At 56.9% G+C, this 26,622-nt stretch overlaps 2 long non-coding RNA genes across 2 annotated transcripts, besides 1 other annotated feature; one reads left to right on the top strand and one right to left on the bottom strand.

Annotated features, from left to right (window-relative positions):
* Positions 1-26,622: part of a sequence alteration artifact (region identified as an assembly artifact by the Genome Reference Consortium. This region falsely duplicates sequence located at GRCh38 chr21:43376890-43571979) that runs on past both edges of the window.
* LOC102724354 (long intergenic non-protein coding RNA 1669) lies at positions 6,026-23,302 on the bottom strand. Its single transcript, NR_136540.1, has 5 exons — positions 23,268-23,302; positions 21,832-21,917; positions 19,740-19,807; positions 15,282-15,464; positions 6,026-6,327 (listed from the first exon to the last, which is right to left on the bottom strand). It is a non-coding gene; the product is annotated as a long intergenic non-protein coding RNA 1669 (long non-coding RNA).
* On the top strand, positions 9,152-11,573 carry LOC102724370 (uncharacterized). Its single transcript, XR_430337.3, has 2 exons — positions 9,152-9,413; positions 11,122-11,573. It is a non-coding gene; the product is annotated as an uncharacterized LOC102724370 (long non-coding RNA).

The raw sequence follows: 26,622 nt of genomic DNA, 5'->3' as shown, positions 1-26,622 counted from the left end.
GGCTCTGAGCCCTCATGGCACATAAGGTCTTGAGGACAGTGACCACACAGCCCAATCGGCCGGGCAGGTGGACTTAGGAGGGAGAGCCGGAGGCTGCAGAGTGTGCTCCGAGGTACCCTCCGCCTGGGACTGTAAGAACAAAGAAGGCTCTGGGGTAAGGTGACAGGGACAACTCCAGCAGAGAAGCGGAGGGAGGGGTGGAGACAGCACGAGATGACCGGAGACCACATGTTGGGTAGTGCCGGCGGGGGGAACTATGGGAAAGGGATTGGGCCTGGCATGAAGACCCCCAGCCCAGCCCCGTGGGGGTCCTAGCAACCCCAGAAGTCCTGCTAAGACCCTGGCACAGACCCCACTTCCCTGAGACTCAGCTTCCCCATCTTTAAAGTGAAGCCTGGCGCCTGCCTGTGAGTGCGCTGAAAATCAGATGATGGCAGCCACAGAGGCGCTCAGCACAGCGCCCAGCGCAGGGCCGGGACCCAGAGTGGACTCTACCGTGGGGCTGCCTCAAAGAAATCTCAGCAAACACAGGAAGCCAGCCCACCCGTGCAGCCATGGGGCCAGGAAGCCCGCCCTTTACCAAGTCATTTGGGCATTTTTTCTCTGTGCTAACAGCCCAGATGGAGCCATAGCCTCAACCTCTGTGTTCTGATAACACCAAGCTGGGACGCCGGAGCCATGCAGGGGACAGTGCCCGGCCTGAGGCTGCAGCCTGGGTCTGGATGCCTTTCTAATTCAGGGCCTCCTCATGGCCTGGTTCCATAAATGGTCAAATGCAGCCTGACAGCGCAGCCTCCTATCAGCGCTGGGCTCCGTACCGCCACACAGCCCACATACCCCGTTCCCCAGGAGACGCCCGCAGGTGGGCAGCGTCACTCCCACCCGCCGAGCACACGCTGTCCCCGTCTCGTGTCCCGAGGAGCCGGAAGCAGCTGCTTCCTCCCAGCCTGAAAGCTGCACCTCGGGCTGCACTCGGCTCCCCGAACCCGCCCTCCGCTGCCCTGCAATTCGCCAAGGGAGCTACCCTTCCCATATAAAAATTTCACCTCCATTTCCTTGTAGAGAAGAAACATTTCTGACAGCAAGGAAGATTCTAATTTGAAAAGCAAGTGATTCATCTCCCGGTGCCAAACAGCAGACGCAGGCGTTACCAGTCTGGGTGGGGCGCCCGAGCTGGGGACCTGGGGTCCTCTGGGAGGGGCAAGAAGGCAGCGATGCTGGCCCCCGCCTCCATCTGCCCATCCCATCTGCTTCCACACACCGCCCTGCCGTAGCTGCTTGCAGCCCTTCTCTGTCAGTTTCTCCATCTTTTGGTTTGGTGATAAATGAGAGTTCCCATCGGGTGTGCCACCCTCTGTGTGACGGGGAGCAGAGAAGACCCTGCGTCCAAGTCCTCCTGGGGGAAGAGCGAAGATGCTGGGACCAGCCCCAGCTGTCAGGGGGTCTCCAATCCCAGCAGGGAGGCCCCACGCATGGCTAGGATGCCCCAGACCCCAGGAACTGAAGGAAGTGGAAAGGAGGGCCCGCAGTCCTAACTAAGGGTTCAGACACCCCCCCAGTGCACATCCAGGCACGCCCCCACCCCCTAGGCCTGGTTCTAGGTCTGCTAGCTCCGAGAAGGCCCCTAACAATGACGCAGTCAGAGGGGCTGCGCTGGGCTCACGCTCAGTCCCACTGCCCCAGGGGTAGATCCGGCCCCTGGCCCACGCGCTGTGGAGCCTTGGAGTGTCTGTGCGCCCCTTCCTTGGAGGGCAGCCGCTGAGGGGCTGCTGCGGGACCGGGGAGCCTCCTGGCAGCAAGCACTCCCAATGCGTTGCTGGGACGCTGTGATGGAGACAAGATCCTGGCTTTGAAGAAAGCCCTTTCCACCCTGTCCATGTGGGGGTCTCCCGGTGCCCCTGAGCCAGCGGCCCCCTCCTGCAGGCTCCGGAGGACTCCCCTGCCTGCATCTGGTCTCGCATTTCCTCCGTGACCTCCAAGCTCCCACTGGGGGCACACGGCTGCCCCGCTGACCCCAACTCTGACCCTGTGCCGGTGGTGGGCAGCATCTGGCATGGGGGAGGTACCATTTCTTCCACACTCGCGCGTCCTCAGCCCAGATCATCCGGTGAAGTTTCCCCAGCAAGTGGCTCCCCCTGCCCCCTCCACCCTGCCAAGTGTGGTCCCTGGGCTCCCGCCTTCCCTTCTCAGCCTCTGCCCCTGGGTCTGGGGCATGCATCCAGCCATCCACGCTCAGGGAGGCCACCTCCTCCCTCGCTCTCAACCACCACAAAGCTGCCCGGGACCTTGTTCTATCCTTTCCAAAAGTCCTCAGGACCTGCCTATCTACGGAGCTCCCAAAACGCCCTGTGAGCTCTCCTGGGCCCCTCCTCTCCTTGCTAATAATGTCCCACATGGTGCTGCCTGCCTGGCCCCAAAAGAAAAGGACCCTGGAGTGAGTTCTGAACACAAACTCGATGAAAGTGGCCCCCTGCTCCACCTGCCGAGTCAGCCCCTCCTCAGACTCTCCCCTTGGGCAGGGAAACCTGCCGAGGCCTGACTGTTTCTTCCTGAAACAGCCTCAGGCTGGAAGGAGAGGGATCCACCCTTGGCCATTGAAGCATTCAGCAGGAATCAGCCCTCAGGGACCGAGACCCTGCGACCAGCCCCGCCCCACAGGTGCCGGTCCTGGGCAGCCTCCCTTGCTTAGGCCACACTGCTCCCAAGAAGCCAGGATGAGCAGCTCGCAATAGGCCCCCAACACGCAGAGTGCCATGCAGAGGACGGGGGCACCCCAGAAAACTGCAGACACTGCATGTCCTCTGGGAGCCCCGGCCCTGGGAGACGATGTGCAGTGGCTCCAGCTCTGACCTCATGAGCCCAAGCTCCGCTACACACTGGGTCCTGACCTGACCTGGGTCCCGGCGGCTCTCCGGCCAGGCCTCTCCCGGTGCCTCCCGCCCCTGAGGCCGGCACCCAGCATCCAGGCCCCTGTATAGTCATCCCCTCTTCAGGAATCTGGGTCATGGCTGCAGGATAGGGGCTACCCAGAGCAGGATGTGGAGGGAGGGGCCGCAAAAGCCGGAGAGAATCCACAAGGCACTATTTAGCCACCTGCCCTTGATTCTAATTCTCAGTGACGAGATTCTTTGCTTGGCCAAACTCTATCAGGCCCTTGAGCCTTCTAGGCCACCTGCACACTTCCTTGCAAAATCCGGTTTTAGCAAGAACACTGCTAAGTGACTTCAGCCAGAACTGCCCCGCCCCGTATCTGATCATCCTCGTCAGGGCAGCATGCTCGTCCTCTGGCACCCAGGTGATGACGGATGACCCCGCCTCCCTTCAGCCAGAACCCTCCCACCCCTGCTGTTTGTTCTTAGTGATGTTCCATCCGAGGACCCCACTCTGCTCCTGGGCTATCAAATCCCACTCGCTGGAGCCATATTCAGAGTGGAGCCTAAATCTCTCTCCACCACTGCAAAATCCCACTGCCCTGGTCCCAGCACCCACCGCACTGGTCCTGAGTAGTCCCCTTCCGGTCTTTAGCAAAGATCATTGAATAAATTTCCTTTCATGTCAGGCACACCCTTAAATGCAGACATGTGTGTCCTGGGAGGATTACCAACACTCCCCCGGCCCTGCACATCAGCTGTGGAAGGTGAGATTGGGAAGTGCTGGCCTCCTTGCCAAGGCTTCAGCCTCCATTTCTGCTTTTCAGGTCATGTTCGAACACTGGGGGTCCCAGGAGACCCACCCAGACCAGGCCCCTCTCAGGGTGGGAAGAGCGTGGAGCAAGAGGAGGAGGCTCGGCCCAGGACGTTGGCCACAGGCTGACCCGTGCAGGGGGCAAGGGCTTAAGACGGCCCCATCTTCCACTCCAAGTGTGGTCTCAATCTTGTTGGCCAGTTTATGAAAGTCAAGCCTACTGACTCAGTCAGGGTCTTGGCAGGAAGGAGGCCAGGGCGCAGACAGAGATAGGGATCGCTCCAGGGGTGTGTGGCCCTGGGCTGTGGGGCAGTCCTGGAGCACCTCCACCCCAGCCTGCAGAACACCCAGGCGGAGCAGGAGCAGAGCTGGGCTGTGTAGGGGTTAGGGGACACGGCCAGCCCGCAACCCCAGCTCCCCTCCATCTGCCTCCAGTTTCCAGCCAGGGCCCCCTCTGCCAAACCTGGCCCGAGGCAGGGGCCAGGGCTCTGTCTACTGGGGCCACAGGGAGGGTGGGGAGGGGGCCGGAGCTCCCAGGGCAAGGGGAGGGGCCACCCCCACCCCGTCACGCGCATGGAGGAGGAGGAGGAGCCCACACTGCCCCAGCGTCCACCCCACGCCTACACCAGCCCCACATGAGCTCGGGGGTCTCTGGGGGTCAGTGTCTGCAGCTACAGATGTGAGCACGCATGCGGGTGTGCAGGACCTTTGACCGCAGCCTCCCATGCACCCCTGGAAAGGTGCCTTGCCTCTCTCCCTCACTCGCCATGTGCAGGGCAGTGGGCGAGTCCCAGCCAGCATGGGCATCCCGCATTTCTCTGCTTCTGCAGCCCTGACTGACCATGGCCCCCCAAGTGGGCTCCAGCCCTCCAGGCACCTCCCCGTGCCGTGGTGCCCACCACAGGGCCTGGTCTCAGGGCTCCTCCAGGACTGGCCAAGTCCCCAGGCTCCTCCCCCACCCATGGGGGGAGAGGTGCACAGCACTGACGGGCCCCTGGGCCACTCATCTGAACTCTTGAGTCCTCCTAGAGCGGTGATCCCAGCCGGGCAGTTAGCTTGAGCGAGCCGAGTACTTACAGGATGTCACCAAACACAAGGTCCCAGCCCACATTCCATGACCTCAGCACTGCTCACGACGTCCTCCTGAGTCCATGAACTTCTTGACGGTTCTCATGGCCTCCTCCTGTGGACAGGGCAGGGCCGGCAGGTGAGGCACCTGCACGCACACCTAGCTCGACTCCCCAGGCCCACCCTGCAGACCCTCGGCCCTCTCCCTTCTTCCCACCCACCACTCTGGAGACGGGGCCTCCGGTCCTGGCCGCCCCTGTGGAAGAATGAGGGTGAGCGAGGGGCTGGGTCAGCAGCACGGCAGTGGGGGAGCCACCCAGCCTCCTGGAGGAAGCGGCCGGGCAGCGCTGGCACCGTTCCACATCCCTGCTGGAGCAATGGGGCCAGCGTGGCCGCCCCACCCAGTCAGTGGTCCCCACCTGGCTGAGAGTCCCCAGGAGGCAGCACCCTCTTCCTGGGAAGTCAGGCAGGGTTCTATGCAGGAGCCGACACTCACAGGGCTACCACAGGCCTGTGCGGACCCCAAGAGCCAGGAAGCCGCCTGCCGATGGTCCCTCTTAGGGACTGGATCGCGGGCAGCTCAGACGGCACAGAGTGCTTCCGGGTCGCAGTGTCCTCATGTTGCGGAGGCCTGAGCTCCCTGGAGGAAAAGCAACACCTTCCAAGCCATGCGGCGGAACGCTGGTGAGGCTCAAAGCCCTGGAGGTGACAGCCCCCAGACAGAGGCGTGGACCGTGTTTCCCTGTCGGCCCCTCCTCCAACCCCTCCACCAACCGCTCCGCCAGTGGCAGGTTTCCCACCTGTCTCCCAGCCCCCTGGAACTCTCCCCGGGCCTGCCTCTGGCTGTTTGCTGGGCCCCCCGTGGGAGCAGCACAGCGGCTGAGTGCCTGGGCGTGGCCCTACTGCCTGTGGGTTTCCAACGGGAATTTAGAGTCTGAAGGCTGAGGACCCTAGGGGACCACCCATTAGGGCTGAGGGCTCTGGAAAGAAGTTCAGGACAAAGGAGTTTGGGGAGAGCGCTGGGCTCATTTTCCTGGGGCAGACAGAACCAAGTGCCCATCACGGTGCAGCTTGAACAGCAGGCGTTCGGCGCCTCTCAGTTCCGGAGGCCGGGGGTCCAAGGTCATGGTGTGGGCAGTGTGAGCCACCACACCCAGCCCAAGTCCTTTATACATCTTCTCAGGGGGTCTGTGTCTTAAACAGGAAATATTCAAACGCCCTTTCTCTAACTGAAGTAGGTTTTCAGATTACTTTTACGTTTATAAGATATTGTGGCTACTGACGGTTTATTTTTTGCAATTATAACCGGCCCACTTTCCCGGGGTCTCCCTACACGTGCGGGGCGGGGGAGAGACTCCAGAGGGGGCTGCGGGAAACACAGGGGAGGGAGGCCTGGGGCTGGAGACGGCGGCCGCTCCTCATGCGTCAGGGGCCTCTTTCGGGCCGCCATTGCCTTAGCAGCGCCAAGTTCTTTCTGGGGCAATCGCCGCTGTTGGTTTCATCTCCCAGCACTGCCCATTGGCCGCAGCACCTCCTGCCCCCACGGTGCACTCCCTTCTGCGGTCATTTCCTTCCCTGGGGTGGAAGCAAGTGTAGAGCCAGCTCTTAGAGAGAGGCAGGCCAGCCATCTGCAGAGTGGGAACCCTCCTGGGCCCCCTTGCCCTCCCCACGTCCGAACCTGTCCCGTCCCCCATGGGCCCGCGCCCCCGCCAGCAACGGCATCCCACACTGTGCGCCTGGCCGTCTCACACACCCCACACTCTGGGCTGACCTTCAAAGGGAAGCTGCTGTTTAAATATTTAATCGTCCTTGGAGTGCCTGGACTTAATCATTAAGACCCTGAATCAAAAGAGGAAAAAAAGCATTTTAAAGATGACTGAAGGCCGGGTGCAGTGGCTCACGCCTGTAATCCCAGAACTTTGGGAGGTCAAGGTGGGCAGATCACAAGGTCAGGAGTTCGAGACCAGCCTGGCCAACATGGTGAAACCCCGTCTCTACTAAAAATATTAAAATTAGCCTGGCATGGTTGTGGATGCCTGTAATCCCAGCTACTTGGGAGGGTGAGGCAGGAGAATCACTTGAACCCCGGAGGCAGAGGTTACAGTGAGCCGAGATCACACCACTGAACTCCAGCCCGGCCAACAGAGCAAGACTCTGTCTCAAAAAAAAAAAAAGCAAAAAAAACAAAAACTAAAAAACTAAAAAAAAAAGATGGCTGAAGCCTGTGAAAACACTGGGTTAGTGATGCTTGTATTCTCAGCCCTGCAGGGCTGCGGCACCTCCACCTCCGGCTTGGCCTCACACTGCTCCCGGGGTGTTCCCTTTGCTCTGGAGGCAGGGCTGTGCACCAGCCAGGCCTGAGACCCTGTCTGCCCTCCAGGACCTGCTGACCCTGCTAGATCTTCGGTCCTGCCTTGCCCAGCGGCCGACTGAACAGAGCCCCTGTGGGCCCTGCATGGCCACCAGGGGGCTACTCCACGGTGGGGTCAGGGGGCGAGCGTCCCCCTCCCCGTCTCGGGGAGGGACGCAGCTCCTGGCCTGCATGCGCCCACCATGGACGGGGAAGGAAGGGGCGCCCCCTTCAGTGTGTGAACCCCCAGCAATCCCCTCTGCGGGGACCGCATGTTTTCTATACAGAAAGAACTTAGCTCACCAGGGACATTTTGCTGAAACAGCTTGTAAAGGATGGCGCCTGGCTGGTGCCTCTGCCTGCTATGGGGTGCGGGAGGCAATGTGGGAAGCTCCGTACTCTCTGATCGATGTATCGGTAAAATGAAAACTGCTCTAAAAAGTAGTCTTTTAACTTAAAAGAAAAAAGGAGAATAATTAGGCCAAGGGCTTGGCCATTTTCTGAACAAGTCTAGTTTTGTGGGTTTCCAGCTGCCTCTCTGAGTCTCCTTCTGGGCCCCTGCAGACACAGCCCCCTCCTGGGGTAGGGGTGACCTGCCCTGAGCAGTCTGTGCCCCGGGCTCCCAGAGCTGCCAGTGTGTCCAGGCTCTCCCCAGCTATCCGACTCCTGGGGAGCCTGCCAGGCCGGCAGTGGGTGGGTATTTGCTTGCATTTGCTTTGACAAATCGCCACTCTGTGTGGAGGTGCCAGGAGCGTGATTTACTGGGTGTGTGATGACTACGGCTCCCGTAGCCAGGCCTGCCCATCAAGCAGTGCTTTTGGCTTTCAGTGAGGGGTGGACTTTGCCGCGGGGGATTGCCGGCTAGCTGATCAGGACCCCAAGTCCTAAGAGGCACCGTGTCCACTCCACCTGCCCACGGGAGCTCCGTGCCCAGCGGTGGGCCCAGAGGGACGACGACCTCCTGTAGAGGGGGCCCCCACCAGTCCTAGCAGCCAAAGGTGCTCGAAGAGTGAAAGGACATGCCACACTGTCCTCCTAACAGCAGTGACCAGGGCAGGAGAGCTGCTATTTCTGGCCTACGGCCCATTTTTCAGAGTCAATTCATTTTCTAGGCAGACACACACATTCCTACAACTCTTTTCTCCAGATCATTCCTTCAGCCAGCTGGTTCTCCACCGGGATTCCAGGAAAGAATGAGGCCTTGCAAAATGCTCTGAATGGCTGTTCCCACCAAAGGTGGTGGGAGCCAAGCCCTTTCCAGGTACAGAGGGAAAGAAGGTGGTTTCGTGGGGTCTTGGCGTCAGCTCCACTCCCTCCCAGATCACTAGTGCGAAGGGACATGCCAGGCCTCTCCTCTAGGACAAAAACTAGTGTTTCTCTTGGATTCACTGAAACAAGCTGGGCTGCCCCTTCTTACAGATGGGGCTTGGGGCCCGTGGAGGGGAAGGGCCTGCGAGGTCCTGTTGGTGATAACCAGGCCAGCCGAGAGCCCGGGAAAGGGCCTGTCCTCAGTCTGTGCCTTGGTGTCCTCCCACCCAGCCACAAAGGGACTCACTCAAGGTCACAGGGCTGCAGCGGGCTGCGTTCAACCCAGTGGCCCCCACACACTCCTTCAAGGACCAGCATCCCATGCCCAGCTTCTGCCACTTCCTCTCTGGGCCTGTGCCCAGCAGCAGGACAACCCTTGCCACAGGCAGAGCAGCCCCGCACTCTAGTCCATTGAAAAGCCTGGTGAGATGCCAGGCCAGGCCATGAGCGCGGAGCCTGGTGGCGCGTGTCAGGAGGCGGCGGTGGCAACCTTGACGGTGGTGGTCCTGACTCAGGAGTCTGACTCACAAGGACTCCAGAGGAAGCAACTGACAAAACGTGTCTCCCGACGGGAGGGTGGCCCAGCTGTGAGGGCGTCTCCACCACCTCACCATCATCGTCAGAGCCACAGGATTTGGGGGACAGAGGAACATGGTAGACGACACTACAGAGACAGCCAGCAGAACCCAGAGTGTCGGAAATTCTACAGGACAAACAAAGGACCAGGTTTCTTCAACAGATAAACGATGAGTGATGTGTGTGTGTTGGGGGGGGGTGGGGGGGACGGAAGCTCTGGGCATTCCGGAGGGACTTCAGAGTCACAGAGAGCCTTGGACTTCGTACTCAAACAAACCAACTCTGAAAAGACAGGAGACAACCAGGGAAATTTCAACACTGCTAGCAGATTATCACAAAGAATTCAAGGGTCGTGTTTTAGGTGTGATAACGGTAGCACAGTTATTTTTTTTGGAAGAGTCCCTATTCTGTACAGCCACGCACTGAGGTATTTCTCTGATGAAATAAGGTCAGGGATTGCTTTAAAAGACTCCAGGGAGAGGAGGGGTAAGGGGCAGTGGATCGGGGGAGGGAAGAAGGCTTATAGGTCAGATGGGGCTGCCATGATACTGCTCCCTCTCAAGTTCTTGATGTTTAGAAAAAATGTATGATAAAAAGTTAAAGGTATATGGCCAAAAATTAACAATAATCACAAAAACAAGCCTGTCCTTACAGTGAGGCCAAACTCTTTCCTGTCTTCTAACTCTAGCCCAGGGGTCAAAAACAAAGGGAGGACCACAGGCCCCAGGGAGGCGCAGGAGGAAAATATTAATACTGTCCTTTCAAAATCTCATCTTTTAAAAGTATTTAAAATGCCCATATTCTATAATCTATGTAATATTTTACTATTAGCTAGTCCATTTGACAAGTGTTAAAAAATCAATGTATCAGGCTAGGCGTAATGGCTCACACCTATAATCCCAGCACTTTGGGAGGCTGAGGCGGGCGGATCACCTGAGGTCAGGAGTTTGAGACCAGCCTGGTCAACATGGTGAAACCCCCGTCTTTACTAAAAATACACCAATTAGCTGGGCAAGGTGGTGTGTGCCTGTAACTCCAGCTACTCAGGAGGGAGGCAGGAGAATCACTTGAACCCAGGAGGCAGAGGTTGCAGTGAGCCAAGATCGCGCCACTGCACTCCAGCCTGCGTGACAGAGTGAGACTCCGCCTCAAAAAAAAAAAAAAAAAAAATCAATGTGTGTACATGTATCGGGAGTGTGCACTCAAACTTTTGATTGTTAAAGGAGGGTTTTCACAAAAGCTGGGAGACCACCCTTCTAGAACCCTGCCCTTGTAGGTCCAAGGCTACGCGCCCTGGCAGACTTCCATGAGCTGCGACCACCAGCCACCAAGACGGTGTGCCCAGCCAACCCTGGTCCCCAGCTAGCTCTGACCCCTGCCCTGCCAGCATCACCCTGAGATTCTTCTGCAAATTACAGTCTTCTCAGACTGTCTGTCGACCCTGGGGTCTCAATGCTGGGTTCTCAACAGGCAGAACCACAGGGCTGCATTGCGGGTTGTCTTTGAAAAATGACCTGCCAATAGAAAGTTGGGGACGAAAGCCCTCCAACAGTCTGTCCAAGCGACCCCCAAGAGAAACCACAGTGGGGTGCTGGAGGGTCCCCAACGAGGCACCCCCCCCCCCGACCACCCTGCTGTTACTTCCACCCACATCGAAGTCCTAGGGTCTCTTCTAATTTCCTACTTGGCCGTGCCTGAAATGCCACTTCCAAAACCCGCATTCCTATGGTTGCAGAGGCCACAAGGGAGGGCCCTCGTGGTATTTTTTCAGGACCCAAAACCACGAAGATGCCAAGAATCACAACTTTCACACAAAGGACACACTTTCTTTGATGGAATCTTCAGATCACACATCACAAAGGCAGCACGCCATCAGTCTTTGAAATGTCCCAAAACACGTAAAGAATGTTCCGCTGCAGATCCGGCTTGTTTCACGGGTGTGTGGCCTCCTCTTCCGAAGTCATTTCATTCTTCGGGGTCTTTGACACGCTCTGGCAACAAGCGCGGAGAGGTGAACGGGGCAGCGTTTGTGCTGAGAGTGGGCTGAGAGCGCCGCCCTGCCCACTCCGGCCTGGGGCATCCCATCTCTGCCAGGTTCTGGGCTTTGCATTTTCTTTTCATTTCATTCTTCCCAGGCAAGAGCACAAGGAAACAAGCAGAAGGAATTCAGAGAAACAGCTCCAGGCTCCAGCTCAAAGGCCGACACCAAAAGCGAACACCTCTGGGCGCTCTTGCCTTCAAGAAGGTGGGGAGGCTCACAGACGCAGCATCCACCCCTCGCAGGGAACCTCAGTTCCTGGCCTGTGGTCCCATGAAGGACATCAGGCTGGCAGATTGGAGCACACCCCTTCTTTCTAACCCCTCTTGAAAGCTTCCTTGAATCTGCCAGTCCTGCCCCCTGGAGCAGGAAGGAAAACAGAAGGCCTAGGACGCTAGAGGGGTCCCGAGCTTTCCGGAGCTCCAGCCACCATCAGGTCTGACTGCTCAGGGACAGACACACCGACCACATCCTGACCTCAGGATGACCTGCGGAAGTACTTGGCATTTCTTCTTAGCCAAATCCCTTCATTAAAAGACGGGTGAGGGTTCCAGCGCTGCCCTCTTCCTTCTCAAAACTCTTATTTCAGGGCTGAAGCCCAGACGTCCAGCCCGTCAGAAATCCCCTTAGCCTGAGCTTGGCACCCAGAAGCTAGAGAGTAAATGCACAGGGGCCGGGGTCTGAGCCCTTCCGCAAGATGGGGATGGGGGCCACAATCCACACACACCACACCACAAACCACACACCACACACACACCATATATCACACACACACACACACCACATATTACACACCACACATATCACACTACACACCTCATACCACACACCATATACCACACACACGGCACCAAATATCACCCACACATCACACAACACATACTTCACACATACACCACATACCCCACACCACACACTACACATCACACACCTCACACTACATACCTCATACACACCACACACCACACACCCCACATACCTCCCACACACACCATACACACACACTAGATCTCAAACATAACATACACCACATACCTCACACCCCCCCGACACTATACAGCTCACATATACACAACACACACCTACCTTACACACATGCCACACACTCCACATCCCTTACACACAATCAGTATATATCACACATACACAATACATTCCTCACACCCCACATACCTCACACAACCACATACACTACACACACATCGCACACTACCTCACACACATACTGCATACCTCACACATACATTTCACACACACCACACACCTCACACACAGTGCACACACACCACACCCCTCACACGTTTCCTTGCAGAGCCGTATTGTGTGTGTGTGTGGTGTGTTCATGTGTGTACTTGTGTGTATATGGGGTGTGTGGTATGTTCGTGTGTGTACTTGTGTGTATATGGGGTGTGTGGTGTGTATATGTGTGTGGGGTATGTGTGTGTGTGGTGTGTGCGTGTCCTGCTCATGCAGAGTGTCCGCAACCACTTCTCGCCTCCTCTGTCCCACCCGCCCAACCCCCTGGCACTCCTGTGGACTATGACCCCCTGAAGCCACAAACCCCGAGCTGAGCTAAACCACTGCTCGAGGTGCGGGGTGCGCAGCACTCCACAGCCCGTTGCATTTCCACGTCGCAAATCCTCAGGGAGCATTTCCTTGGAGATACAAGAAGTGCATCCACGTGTTCCCAAGTCCTTTCGCTCAGGGAGTGCCGACTGGTGTCGGCCTTCCAGAAATGACTTTCTAAGCACTTCCATCCCACGCAGACCTGCTTCCTGAAGCCCAGCCTGGTCTCTCTGTGCCCGTGTGTCATCCTTGCCCACTCTTACATGCTGCGAGGCTGGCTGTGTCTGCAGCCGCAGCCATCAGAGGCCTGGAGGTAGCAGAAGCAGCTCTGGTGTGCGCTCAAAAGCTCCTTGCGGCTTGCTCCAGCCACTCACTTATCACCGTGTGGAGTAGAGGGTGTGTGTGTGAGTGCGGTGTGTGTGAAGCCACACCAAACTCATTCCCAGCCTAGGGAGTGAGCCTCCTCTGGCCCGGGCTTAACAAACTCTGGTCAATGTGACCCACGCAGACAGCAAGAGGAGGGACGTCCACTCGCACAGACCCACTTGACCTGGGTGCAGCTGACTTCCTAGTCTTCCCTTCTATGAAACGATGACTTCTGTGGCATGCAGCCCTGCCCTGGCCCGCGGGGACACGCAAGCTTGGGACCCAGGAGAGCAATGACACCGGAAGGGCCAGGCCCTTTGCTGTCTTGGGGGTGCCAGGCCAGAACTCCAAGTCACCAAGCAAAGAGGGCCCCAGAGTCCCCTGTGGTCCCCAAACCTGGCCAAGGTTAGAGTCACCGAGGGGCCTGGACAGATGCCAGGGCCAGCCCAGGCCTGCCACGGCGGGGGAGACTGCCGGGAGGCGAGGCTGGGAGTCTCATCATCAAGCTTCCCGGGGCTCTTGCTGGCATCCCACCCAGGGTTTTAAGGGACATTTGGCAGCAGCTGGACTCCGAGGGAGGGGGTTGGGGGACGACCATGCATTTGTTCTGGGAATGCTCTTGCATGTGCCCGCATTGCCCCTCATGTCCCCATGTCCATGCCAGGTGGACAGCGTGTCCACCAAGGCCCTGACTGCACAGCCAGCTGTGCTCTCGGGAGCATGCCACTCGGCCGGCTCTCCGGCCCTGACTCAGCTCAGGCAGGGGCTCAGCGCCCAGTCTGTGCTTGCAGGTCGTCGCTCAGGCCGGAGCCGAGGAGCTTCGCCAGGCCTGAGATACCTAGACAAGAAGTGCCAGCTCCAGTGCCTGGGGAGGCCAGGCAGGGACGTACGCCACGAGGGATGACGCGGGGTGGAGATGGTGGTGAACGCACAGAGTCATAACGCAGTGGCTTCCCACCTTCGCCATGTGGGAATGTGGCTCCAGGGAACTAGACTGGTCTGTGGCACTTCCTCTTTGAAAGGTAGGCCATTCCTCTAAAAGAGCTGGAGGCGTGGCAGGCCGGCAGCACAGGCACTAACAAGGCAACCAGCCACTGTCAGAGCACACCACACCTCTGTTCTCACCAACCTTTCAACTTACAGAAGAGGAGACGGCCTCGAGACCCAGTGTGCGTGACCAGTTCCACGTGCCACTAGCGCCAGCCGCCTAGAACTCCAAGAGAGGAAAGCAAGAGCTCCCTTGCCATGCGTTTGCTCAGAACTTTAATTTTTTCTCCTCAAGGAAAGTAAAAGAAACAGGTCTTCCTTCCACTGTGCAGGCAGTCAGCGAGCTCCTGCAGGTCCTGCTCTGTAAGCAGAAAGCTGGAGGCTGCACCCCAGATCAAGGCCCTCACACCTCAAAGGTTCTCACGGAGGCCTCGTCTCTGCCCCGCATCTCCAGAATGTGCTTGCTGGTCAGAGAAGAGTCCAGTGTGGCTCAGACAAACACAATCACCTTTCCCAGCAGCCAGGTCCATTCTCTGACAACATCCCACTGGGCACAGCCACACTGACTCCTGCTGCCACTGCAGCCACACCTGGGCCTCTCCTCCCCTGCACCAAGCATGGCAACCCTCTAGGCCATGGCCTCACCTGCCATTACCCCCTGGCCCCATTACCCCTGCCCCCAGCTCCGCATGTCAGGTTTGCTGCCCTGTCCTGCCTAGAACGCTCCGCAGGCTGCTGTCTCTGTACCCCCTCCTGCCGAATAACGACTGTTGGCGGCTCTGTGGGTTCATGTGCTTCGGAATTAAACCACAGGGCCTGCTTCTCATTGCCACTGATGCTCGGCTTCCAAGCCCCCATCGCCACCCACCAATGGCTATTCAGTGTCCGCAATGACAAGAACACCCTGGATACTCCCAGATCGGCTGGCTGTGATGGTGCTCACAGGCCCAGGCAAGAGCCAGCCCCAGATGGGCCCATAGTGCTGCTCTGCTTAGAGCCAATGCCTGCACCAGGCAGCTACCCTGGAGGTGCCCCTGTGAGTGGGCATAGGCAGGTACACCCCCAGCAGTGGCAGGTGCAGCATCTCGGGCAGTCGGGGGGCATCCGCACAGGCCTGGGTGCAAACTGCGGCAAATCCCATGATTCTGCATACAAGAAGGGTGGGGACGTGTGTTTTCCAGGGGAAATGGTCCCTGTCGTGCATCAGATTCTCAAAGGGGTCCAGCACCCAAACAAGTGCAGGGGTCACTGGGGGACACTGGTGCAACAGAAGCAGCCCTGGACTGGGAGTCGGGGCCCCACTGCCGACCAGCTCCACCCTAAAAACTCATCACTCACCCTCGTGTTTCCTAGCAGATAGTGGGAAGAGATGCAGGCCCATCGTGTGCACAGAGGTTCAGAGTGAGCGCACTGTGAGTGGAAACTGTCACGCAAGCCTCGGGCATGACGTCCTTCCCAGACATTCTTTCCCATCGGGCTTCTCGATCCGGGGTGTTGGTGCCTCCCAGGGGTCTGCGGCACCTGTGAAGCAGCAGCAGAGCCACTTCGTCATGGTCCACTGTGATGGTTAGCTCTGTCTCCTCCTGGCTGGGGCTGGGATGCATGACAGCTGGGGAGATATTACTTCTGGGGGATCTGTGAGGGTGCTTCCGGGTGAGATCAGCGTTTGAACTGGCCTCAGGAAGCCAGACGCCCCTCCCGGTGTGGGTGGAATCATTTAACCCAGTGAGGGCCTGACTAGAACAAAAAAGGCAGAGGAAGGGAGAGCTGGCTCTGAGAGCTGAGACTTCATCTCCTCCTGGGATCAGACAGCAGCGCTCAGCTCTCAGGCCTGCTGCCGTGGATGGAATTACACCCCAGGCAGAGGAAGGGAGAGCTGGCTCTCAGAGCTGAGACACCATCTCCTGCTGAGCTCAGGTACTGGCCTCAGCTCTCAGGCCTGCGCCATGGATGGAATTACACCCCAGGCTTTCTTGGTTCTCCCACTTGCAGATGGCAGCTCATGGAATTTCTCAGCCTCTGTAACTGCATGCGCCAATTCCTGTAATAATGCCTCTTCTCTTAGGTATCTATATCCATCTCTGTGTCTGCATCTCCTATAGGCTCTGCTTCGCTGGAGAACCCTGACTAGTACAGGCCATCTTCCTGGGGTACAGGCCATCTTCCTGTGTGGGAAGTCAAGGCAGGAGCAGAAGGTGGCTAAGTGAATATTTAACCACTATGCAACTATATTGAAACATATACACATCAAGGGTGGCAAGGGCAGGCAGGCCACAAGGATGGCTGCCAGAGGCCACCATGGCACTTCCCCCCAATACCAGGAGCAAATGATGGACTCGGCCATACCCTACAACCATCCTGGGGTATGGGCTGGAACCCCCAGGGAGAGGCGGGCAGCAGAAAGCCTGCAGGCCCCCAGCTTTGTACCATGAGAGGTGTGTGGGGCCCAGGTCCAGGTGAGCATCGTGGCTGTCCTCCAGGAGTGGCGCCTGGCCCGCTCGCTGCTCTCTCACTTCATGGTACTTGGGGAGGGGCAGAGAGCACCCTACAGAGACAACACTGGCTTCGGGACGCACCCACAGCCACCCAGGAAAAGCCTTGAGAGCACAATGAGATGGAGACCACAGCCCCCAGGAGAGAAGACAAAACTTGAGATCTGGCTCTGACTGAATTGACTGCCGCCAAAACAATGAACAGAAATCAACATTTTCCAGCAGATTTTAACAAGAATCTACACTACATAGTATTCAAGATGTCCACAATACAATTCAAAATTACTTGACGGGCCGAGCGTGGTGGCTCACGCCTGTAATCCCAGCACTTTGGGAGGCCAAGGCAGGCAGATGATGAGGTCAGGAGTTCAAGACCAGCCTGGCCAACATGGTGAAACCCTGTCTCTACTAAAAATACAAAAATTAGCCAGGTGTGGTGGCGAGTGCCTGTAATCCCAGCTACTCGGGAGGTTGAGGCAGGAGAATCGCTTGAACCTGGGAGGCGGAGGTTGCAGTGAGCTGAGATCCTGCCACTGCCCTCCAGCCTGGGCGACAGAGCAAGACTCCGTCTCGGAAAAAAAAAAAAATTACTTGACATACAAAGAGCCACAAAATTCTCAAGAGAGAGAGAGTCAACAGATGCTCTAGGTGCTGGAATTAGGTCAAGACTGGACAGCACCTGTCACAACTGTGCTCCACATGGTAAAAGAAACCACGAGTGAAGCAGATGGAAGGACAGAAATTCTCAGTAGGTAAATGGAAACTACAAAAAAGAACTAAATAGAAATTTCAGAACTCAAAGATATGATACCTGAGAAATTGTTTTTTTTTAATGGACAGACCTAATAGCAGAATGTCAGTGACAGAGGAAAGAATCTGTGAACTTATACATGGATCAGTAGAAAATTTCCAATCTAGACAATAGAAAGAAAAGTAAGACTGAAGGCCGGGCACGGTGGCTCATGCCTGTAATCCCAGCACTTTGGGAGGCCGAGGTGGGTGGATCACCGGAGGTCATGAGTTCGAGACCAGCCTGGCCAACATGGTGAAACCCTGTCTCTACTAAAAATACAAAAATTAGCTGGGCATGATGGCGGGTGCCTTAATCCCAGCTACTCGGGAGGCTGAGGTGGGAGAATCACTTGAACCTGGGAGGCGAAGGTTGCAGTGAGCTGAGATCACGCCATTGCACTCCAGCCTAGGTGGCAAAGCAAGACTCCATCTCAAAAAAAAAAAAAAGAAAAGAAAAAGAAGACTGAAAAAAATGAGCAGAGTCCAGGGACCTGTGGAATGATATCAAAAGGTCTAACATTCACGTCCTTAGAGGCCCAGAGGAGAGAAGAAAATGGTGCAGAAAAATATTTGAAGAAATAAAAGCAGAAAACTTCCCAAATTTGGGGGAACATATCAATTTACAGTTTTAATGAGCTCAGCAAATCCCAAACAGACTAGACTCAAATAAAACCATGCCTACACACATTAAAAACTGCTAAAACATAAAAACAAAGAGAAAAATCTTGAATGTAGCCAGAGAAAAATGATAGCTTACACACACAGAGGGAGCAGGAATTCAAATGACCCAGGATTTCTCATCAAAACCACAGAGGCCAGCAAATACACTGTGGAGGCTTGAACGCATGCAGCTAAGTGAAAACAGCCAGCCTGGGAAAGGCCACACAACTATACAACTCCAGCTATACAACTCTCGGGAACAGGCAAAACCATGGAGACGGGAAAAAGGTCAGTGGCTGCCAGGGGTTGGGAGGAGGGAGGGATGAATTGGCAGAGTGTGGAGGATTTTTAGGGCAGTGAAACTATTCCGTATGATGTTATAATGATGTCATTATACATGTCATTATATATTTGCCCCAAGCCCAGAATGTACAACACACAGAGTGATCCCTGTTGTAAAAGATGGACGTAGGTAGTAACAATGTATGGATACTGGCTCATCAGCTGTGACCCATGTCCCATGGCATGGCTGTGCTCATAACAGGGAAGGAAGCTGTGGACAGTGTGGGGGAGGCGGGTGCGGGAATTCTCTGTACTTCCTGCTCAGTTTTTCTGCAAACCTAAATCTACTTCTTAAAACTCTACTAACTAAACAGAAATTAGGTGCAAAATAAGCAGAGAACTTTTATTTTGTTTTGTTTTTTGAGATAGGGTCTTGCTCTGTCGCCTAGGCTGGAGTGTAGTGGCGTCATCTCAGCTCACCGCAACCTCTGCATCCCAGGTTCAAGCGATTCTCCTGGCTCAGCCTTCGGAATAGCTGGGATTATAGGTGTGAGCCACCACACCTGGCTAATTGTTGTATTTTTAGTAGAGATGGGTTCTCACCATGTCGGCCAGGCTGGTCTCAAACTCCTGACCTCAAGTGATCCACCCGCCTCAGCCTCCCAAAGTTCTGGGATTACAGGCATAAGCCACTGCACCCCACTAGCATAGAAATTTTTAAAACAAACAAACAAAAAAAACTGCTTAAACAAAACAGGGAGGCCAGAAGACGATGGAACAATACCTTTTTTTTTCTTTTTTTTTTTAAATTATACTTTAAGTTCTAGGGTACTTGTGCAGAACATGCAGGTTTGCTACGTATGTACACATGCGCCATGCTGGTGTGCTGCACGAAGAATGAAAGGAGAAGAAGTCACCACAGAATCCTACATCCAGTGGAGACAGCCTTCAGGAATAGAAGCAAAATAAAGACATTCTCAAGTAAAGGAACTAGAAGAGAATTGTCACCAGCAAGGGAAAAGACCCCAGGGGGAAACACAGCACTTCTAGAATGAAGAAAGAGAAACAGAAATAGCGGATACCTGGGTAAATAGTTTTTAAACTATTTTTTCTTTTAAGTCCTTTAAAATATGTATGACTATTGAAAGCAAAAAATATACCATCATCTTGGCCAGGTGTGGTGGCTCATGCCTGTAATCCCAGCACTTTGGGAGGCTGAGGCGGGCAGATCACTTGAGCTCAGGAGTTCGAGACCAGCCTGGCCAACATGGTGAGACCCCCTCTCTACTAAAATTACAAAAATTAGCTGGGCGTCGTGACGCGTGCCTGTAATCCCAGCTACTCAGGAGGCTGAGGCAGGAGAATCGCTTGAACCCGGGAGGCAGAGGTTGCAGTGAGCCGAGAGTGTGCCATTGCACTCCAGCCTGGGTGACAGAGCAAGACTCTGTCTAAAAAAAAATACACACACAGACACATACACACACACACACAGACACACACACACACACACACACACCCCATCATCTGGTGAGATTTTTAATGTTTGCAGACATGATACATGACAACTCACAGGCAGGGTCTAAGTGCTTCCAGCGCTTCCACACTTCACTCGAAGTCACAAAGCAGGATCTGCAGAAACTGTGAAAGGCTAGGTTTAGTATATTGTAATCTCTAAGCAATCACTTAGAAAAGATATACAGTAAAATAAAACTGAAAAGAGATTTAGCCAAAAAAGACAACAGATACATTAAAATGGAAAATGGTAAAATATTAAAATAAGAAAAGGGAGCAGAAGGGACAATCAAAACCAACCGTAAGGCCAGACCTCAATGTTACAGTTCACAACAATAGCACATATGCATCATAACCATCCCAGGACAGACCACAGTCGCGTATCAAGAGCGGCAGGACATAAGCCACCAGGAGCAGGAGGAAGGCAGAGAAGCCATGGTGAAGACATGAAGAGACAGCCACCTTCACCCCTAACCCTGTACCTGTGGGGTCAAGCATGACATCTGAGCCTCTGTCCCTGGACTAGGGTAAACAAGGGGATCTCTGGGCCCAGGAAGGCTGGGGGCAGGGGCTGTGAGGAGCTGAGGGGCCTGCAGGCCACGCTGCCCTGGCACCCCATCTGGCACCTCTAGGTGGGTTCCCTCTCACTCCCGGTCAGGGAGCAGCATCTGACAAAACACTCTGCTGCAGGCCTCGGTCTCCCCCTCTGCTGAACGTCAGGCGGGTGCTGTCTGGGGCCTCCAGATGCTCCAAGGGGAAGACACGGCGCTGGAAGGCTCTGGGCGGTGGAGGGCTGTACAGGAGGGGCCATGGGCCTCCTGGAACTCCCCTGGGAATGCTAGAAGGGGGCAGAGACAGCTCAGATGAAGCCCTGAGAGATTCCAATGGCATCCCAGGCCCCTCTCCCATCTCTCTCCCTCCCCCATCATCACTGCCTCTGAGGCCAGGGTACCCCAGGCTCTCCAACCCCACATATGGAGGCGGGCAGGCTCAGCTTCTGTCCAGCACCAGAGCAGTTGGAGAATGAAGTGGAACCCAAACGTGGCTCCGTCCCCCAGGGAGACAAACCTGCAGACACCCTCCTGAGACTGGGACAGGGGGACGGGGAAGCCTGGCCCAGACAGAAGCACGAATTGGTGGCGTGGGCCTGGTGTTGAGAACAGGGTCCAACATCACAACCCCGCTCGGGAGGCCAGCGTCCGGGGCCTCTGCCAGCTCTGTCCCAGACGGAATTTGTTCTCACTCTGGACACCCCCAGGGGACCCCTGTGCTCACAGGCAGATCCAGGGGGCAGGAGGGGGGCCTTCCCATGCCAAGTGCAGTTGGATGATGAACGACACCCCCAAAAGATTTGTCCAGGTCCTAACCCGAGGAACTGGAGAATGGGACCTGATTTAGAAAAGGGGTCTTTGCAGATAGATGGGATTAAGTTAAGGATTTTGAGATGAAAGCCTCCTGGATGAGGGTGGACTTGAGATCCAAGGACACGTTCTGAGAAGGGGGAAAGGTGCAGAGACACAGTCACGTGAGACGGAGGCAGAGAACTGGAGCGATGCGGACACAAGCCAAGGACTGCCTGGGCCACCGGAAGCTAGGAGCGGCAGGAAGGGTTTTCTCCTGGAGCCTTCAGCAGGAGGTGGCCCTGCCGACACCTTGATTTTGAAGTCTGGCCCCAGGACTCAGAGAGTCCACTTCTGCTGCATGAGGCCCCCCGCATGCAGTATCCTGTCATGGCAGCCCCTGCCTCATGCGGCCTGGATCTCATGAGGGGTCCACTCCCCTCGTCTCCCCGGTGGGGCGCGGCATCTTCATGCTGCCCTCTAAGGACAAGCGCATGAGAGGCCAGCCTCCCCCACCAGCAGGACAGAATGCACGAGGCCTTTACCAGGCCACACTGGCGCCTGGCGTGGCTAGGACAGCAGTGCTGCTGCCCCGCTGTGGGGCCGAAAGAAGCCAGGGATGAGGGTGCGGGCGCATCTGTGGGTCCCGGAGGCTCCAGACCCCCAGGCCAACTGCACAGCCTGCAGGCAGCACTGCCTGGCCAGCCCTGTCATCCCTCTGTCCGTACATCTAACCACTTTCTCTCTGGGGCCGCCCCGCCCAGAGTCCCTTTCCTGCCGGAGGCTGGGGCTTTCCTGGCAGCTACTCACCACTCTCCCGGTGTTTGTTCATCGAGGTTTCCCGCTGCTGACGGTTGTTTTGACTTGCTCAGAGTTGTCATGCACCTTTGCCCTGGCTATGTAAGGAGAAGGAGCCTTTATGCAATCCAGGAAGCCCGCGTCAGGCCCAGGAGGTGCGCCAGCTCTCTAGGATGCTGGCCAAGGTCCCCCGCACTTGGCCGGATCCAGGCAGGGAGTGACGGACCTGCTGGCATCCTCCTGACCCCGGTTTCCAGCTCTCCCCTCCCCCTGTCGACAACCCAGGGTCAGAGGACAGGCAGCCACCTGGCCAAGGGGCAGGCCCCCTTGTGCCCTGGATGGTGATGGCCTCTGGGGCCAGAAAGAACAAGGTGGTGAGGGGACCATGGAAGACGGCCTGGACTTTAGTGAGGGTGGATGGCTTGCTGGGCGGGTTCCTCAGGGGCAGAGGCTGGGACAGGATTCAGGGTTACATGGCATGTGACCCCTGGCCACCCCAGGAGAAGAGAGGGAAGGAGCAGGGGTCAGGACAAAGGGGCAGGTGCCCCCTGGGGGACTCAGGGGGCAGGCACCCATGGGGTACTGGGGAGGCTGCAGAGACACCTGCAGAGTTGCCCCCGCCGGCAGGAGACACTTGGCTACTTATCCCCCACCTGCCGTCAGTCGCTGTCAAGGGGCTCCCAGGGACCCTGACTGCCCAGCATGTCTGGCCTGGCTGGAGGGAGTCCCCAGGTAGCGCTGAGCCATTGTACAGGCTGGAGGGACGAGGCTGTTACTGGCGCCCAGGCTTGGGGCCATGCTGCAGCAGCCTGGGAGAGGCAGAGAGAGAGAGACACCGGGCCTTCCCCATGGCAGAGCCGGCCACTAGCTGAGCCTGGCTGAGAGGCGGTAAGGGGGCTGGGCCTGGCCCTGGAGCGAGCTCTACGAGGGGGTCTGGGGCTCACAGACAGGCCAGCACCATGCCTCCAAGAGTCAGAGAAGTGAGGCATCAGACAGGCTGTGGCCCAGTCCCACAGAAGAGGTGCCGTCTTGAGCCTCCAGTGTGCTCTGCACGGCCTGGAGGCCCGGACACGTTTTGGGTGGAGGGTGGGGGTCTCAGCCTGGGCCAGGCTCCCCATCTCACCCCTAAGAGTGGCATCGGCCCAGGGTCCGGCCAGGCCCTACTGATGTGTTCTCAGGGGCCAGGACATCAGTGCAACAGGGCAGCCGCTTGCGACAGGACCCGGCCGACTGTCCCCGTCCCCAGAGCACTTTTGGCTGCATCTGGGAGCCGCATCCCCTGTTTGTTCTCTGGAACCAGGAAGCCAGGGCTTTCCACTTCCTGGCTGCTGCAGAGGCCATGCTCTTTTTACTCTCCAAATAGGAAAGCTCCTGCAAGCCTCCTGCCAAGTGAGTGTGGAGAGCTGATCTCAGTGTGGCTGAGGTTAATGGACAGGAAGTGCCATTACCTAAATGGGCCAATAAGCTGATGAGAAGCCCGAGAAGAAAGCCTTTCCAGGCCTTGACCCAGAGAGCCGGCAGGAAAGCGGCAGGCGTCGCGGCCCCAGCAGGGAAGACCAGCTCCTGAGCTCGAGCCCCAGCTCCATCTGCAGCCTGGCCTCACCGCAGTGCCCTCGGACCTCTGCTCACCCTTCTCTGGCCTCCTCTGGCCTCCTCAGGGCTCCTGCACACACACCTGTGGGTCTACAAGGGGCAAAAAAGATCCCGGAACATCGGAGCAAGAGCCCCCCACCCGACCCCGTGTGCAAGCCCCCATTTACGTGTTGCACTCCCAGGGGCCCCTGAAGCCCTCCCTCTCGGCCTCAAAATTCCCATTGCAGACATGGTCCAGCAAGGCCAGCTGTCTGGCTTTCCGGCCGACGATCAAAACAGCAAGTCGGAATGATGATGGGCTGATGGACGCGGGCCACCGACAACCAGGTGACCACTGAGAGCAAGGAAGAAGCCACACAGATGCAAGGCCCCCAAAGTGGGAAACCCCGTGGCAGGGGCCAGGGGCACCTAAATAACAGACGTCCCACGGTGTCACCTGGGCCCGGTACAGGATGGCGGCTAGCAAGGCCGTGTCACCAGGAGGCTGAGTCACGGGGAGGCTGCGCCACTGGGAGGCTGCGCAGACTGTTGAAGGGGGCACAGGAACGTGGAATTGGTGTTGGACCAAATGAAACTGCCAACACCTGCCCTCAAAACTGGGGAGTTCCCAGTGGCTGAACCGAGGATTTCCACAATGGGGGGCACTGTTCTAAAAAGAGAAGGTTGAGGGCCTAGACCGTTGAGTTGTAATCATTCACAAAACCTTTTCCATGGAATTCTGCAGCTGGCCTGGGAAGGCTGTGCACGGTGGCCACACGGTGCTGCGGTGAAGTCTAAGGGGCTGTTCAACGTAGCACCTACATTTGGGGAATTACAGATGCCACAGCCTGCAGGGAGGCACCCACAACTGTCTCCCCCAAGGTAAAGACGACTGTCCTTCACTTACGACACACCGGGTTCCTGCACAGCGATGGCCTGGAGCATCCAGAGAAGGGTCCCTGCTCTCAGAGCCGGCCAGGCGGGCTGTGTACACGGCCACGGAAAGCACCCTTGGGGGAGGGTGTTGCTGTGATTTCTGCACCCCCACTTCCTCACGTCCTGCAACCTAGCTAGAATCTGCAATCAAAAGCTACCCAGCTTTGGAAGGCTGAGTGGGATCACTTAAGGCCAGGAGTTTGAGTCCAGCCTGGGCAACACAGCAAGTTCCCGTCTCTGAAAAAAAAAAAAAAATTAGGCAGGCGTGGTGGTGTGTCGCTGTGGTCCCAGCTCCTCAGGAGGCTGAGGTGGGAGGATCACTTGAACCCTGGAGTTCAAGGTTGCAGTGAGCCATGATCGCACCACTGAAGGTCAGCCTGGGCAACAGAGTAAGACTCTATCCCAAACGGAATTTGTTCTCACTCTGGACACCCCCAGGGGCACCCTGTGTTCACAGGCAGATCCAGGGGGCGGGAGTGAGACCTTGCCATGCCTGTCTCAAAAAAAAAAAAGCCATCAAGGATGCTTTGGGTGTCGGCCGCCGCAGGCCCCCATCTCTCTGCATCTAGCCACATCACTTGGCCCTCAGAATGGAGCAGGAATGCGAGTTCCAGGCCCAAGAGCCACAGGATGGCGGGAGCTCTCACAAAATGAGCGTGGTCTTGCTAGCGGGGCACAGGCTGTCTCCAGTGGACAGGCCACTCCCACACAGGCATGGAAGTGCAGGACGCGCTCTTCCCGTGGCCTAAGGCCCCTTGTTTCTGGAAGGATGGGTGAAAGCAGACACTACCTGTGCCAACTGGAAAGCTCTCACAACGAGATGAAACACCCGCAGGGCCGTGCCCTGCCTGCAGCAGCTCCGGCCTCGCTGTGCGTTTTCAGGGGACCTTGTGCTGCGGGTGCAACTGTTAGGGTGACCGAGGGAGGGAGGGACATGGGCAGATGGGCAGCCAGGGTACCCTCGGGAGAGGCGTGTGGCTCCGAGCTGCCGACGCACCAGCAGGAACAGGCTCCAAAGGACCCTCAGGAGCGATGACATAAAGACCCTCCCCCGCTGCAGGCACTGCCAAACATTCTGGGTGAGCTCCAGCCCAACCCTCCCACTGTTTGGATGGGGACCCCTGAGGCCCAGGAGTCCACCCAGGTCCCCGTGGTCTCCACGGGGACCAGGGGAGCCAGGCTTCATGCCTGGCCACAGCCCTTGCTGGGTAGGGGAGGTGGGTCTGACTTCCAGGGGAGCATGGTGGGGGCAGCAGGGCCTGCTCGTGGGTCCCTGCCGGGGCCAGAGCGAGGCCACTGGGTGGTGGCGTGGTTCCTAGCTCAGGCCCAGCAGCCCAGGCCTCAACACAGCCCAGAATCTCCTGCAGGCCTAATTTCTGGAGTCTGGCCAGGCACGGTGGCTCACGTCTGTAATCCCAGCACTTTGGGAGGCCAAGGCAGGTGGATCCAAGGTCAGGAGTTCGAGACCAGCCTGACCAACATGGTGAAACCCCATCTCTACTAAAAATATAAAAATTAGCCGGGCGTGGTGGTGGGTGCCTGTAATCCCAGCTACTTAGGAGGCTAAGGCAGGAGAATCGCTTGAATCCAGGAGGTGGAGGCTGTAGTGAGCCAAGACTGCACCATTGCACTCCAGCCTGGGTGACAGAGAGAGACTCTGTCTCAAAATAAATAAATAAATAAGTAAATTTATTTATTTCTGGAGTCTTCATCTTACAAAGACGCAGGGGCCGGAGCTGCCCCTCACAAAAGGCAAGAATGGGCTGCGTGTCAGAGTCAGGCCCAGACCAGGGACAGCAAAGCCACTGGCAGACAGGCGAGGATGAGGACAAGGCCCTGCTGCCGGACACAGTGTGTTGTCTGCACTGAAGGGGGGCCAGCGAGTGCGCAGATGGCAGCCCAGACAGGGAGGAGCCCCTAGCACAGGCCTCTCCTGGGCTCCAGGCACTTCCAGAAGAGGAACAGTTAGGAGAAGGCAGGTAAAGGGGTGGGGCCAGGGCCAGGAGGGGCAGGGTGCCTGCTGTGGCTCTGAAGTTACTGCAGATGCCCTCAGGGGCACAGCGGGGTGACTCCACCTTCCACAGTGACTCTGCAAGATGGACGCCCCTGCCCTATTTCTCAGGCGGGAAATGGGTTCCAGCAGTATCCAGACCACACCCTTGGAAGGGCAGAACCAGGAGCCCCCGTGCCGGGGGGCTTCATAGCCACGGCCTCTCACTGCCCTACCAGCAGGGTCACTGCCCCATCACCAGGAGCCTCTCAAGGGGTGTCCCCACGCACACAGCAGAAAATCCC

Source organism: Homo sapiens, chromosome 21 (genome assembly GCF_000001405.40).
Source record: "Homo sapiens chromosome 21, GRCh38.p14 Primary Assembly".
Classification (NCBI taxonomy): Eukaryota; Metazoa; Chordata; class Mammalia; order Primates; family Hominidae; genus Homo; species Homo sapiens.
The sequence above is the reverse complement of the archived record's forward strand: the minus strand, read 5'-3'. Positions and strand labels throughout refer to the sequence as shown.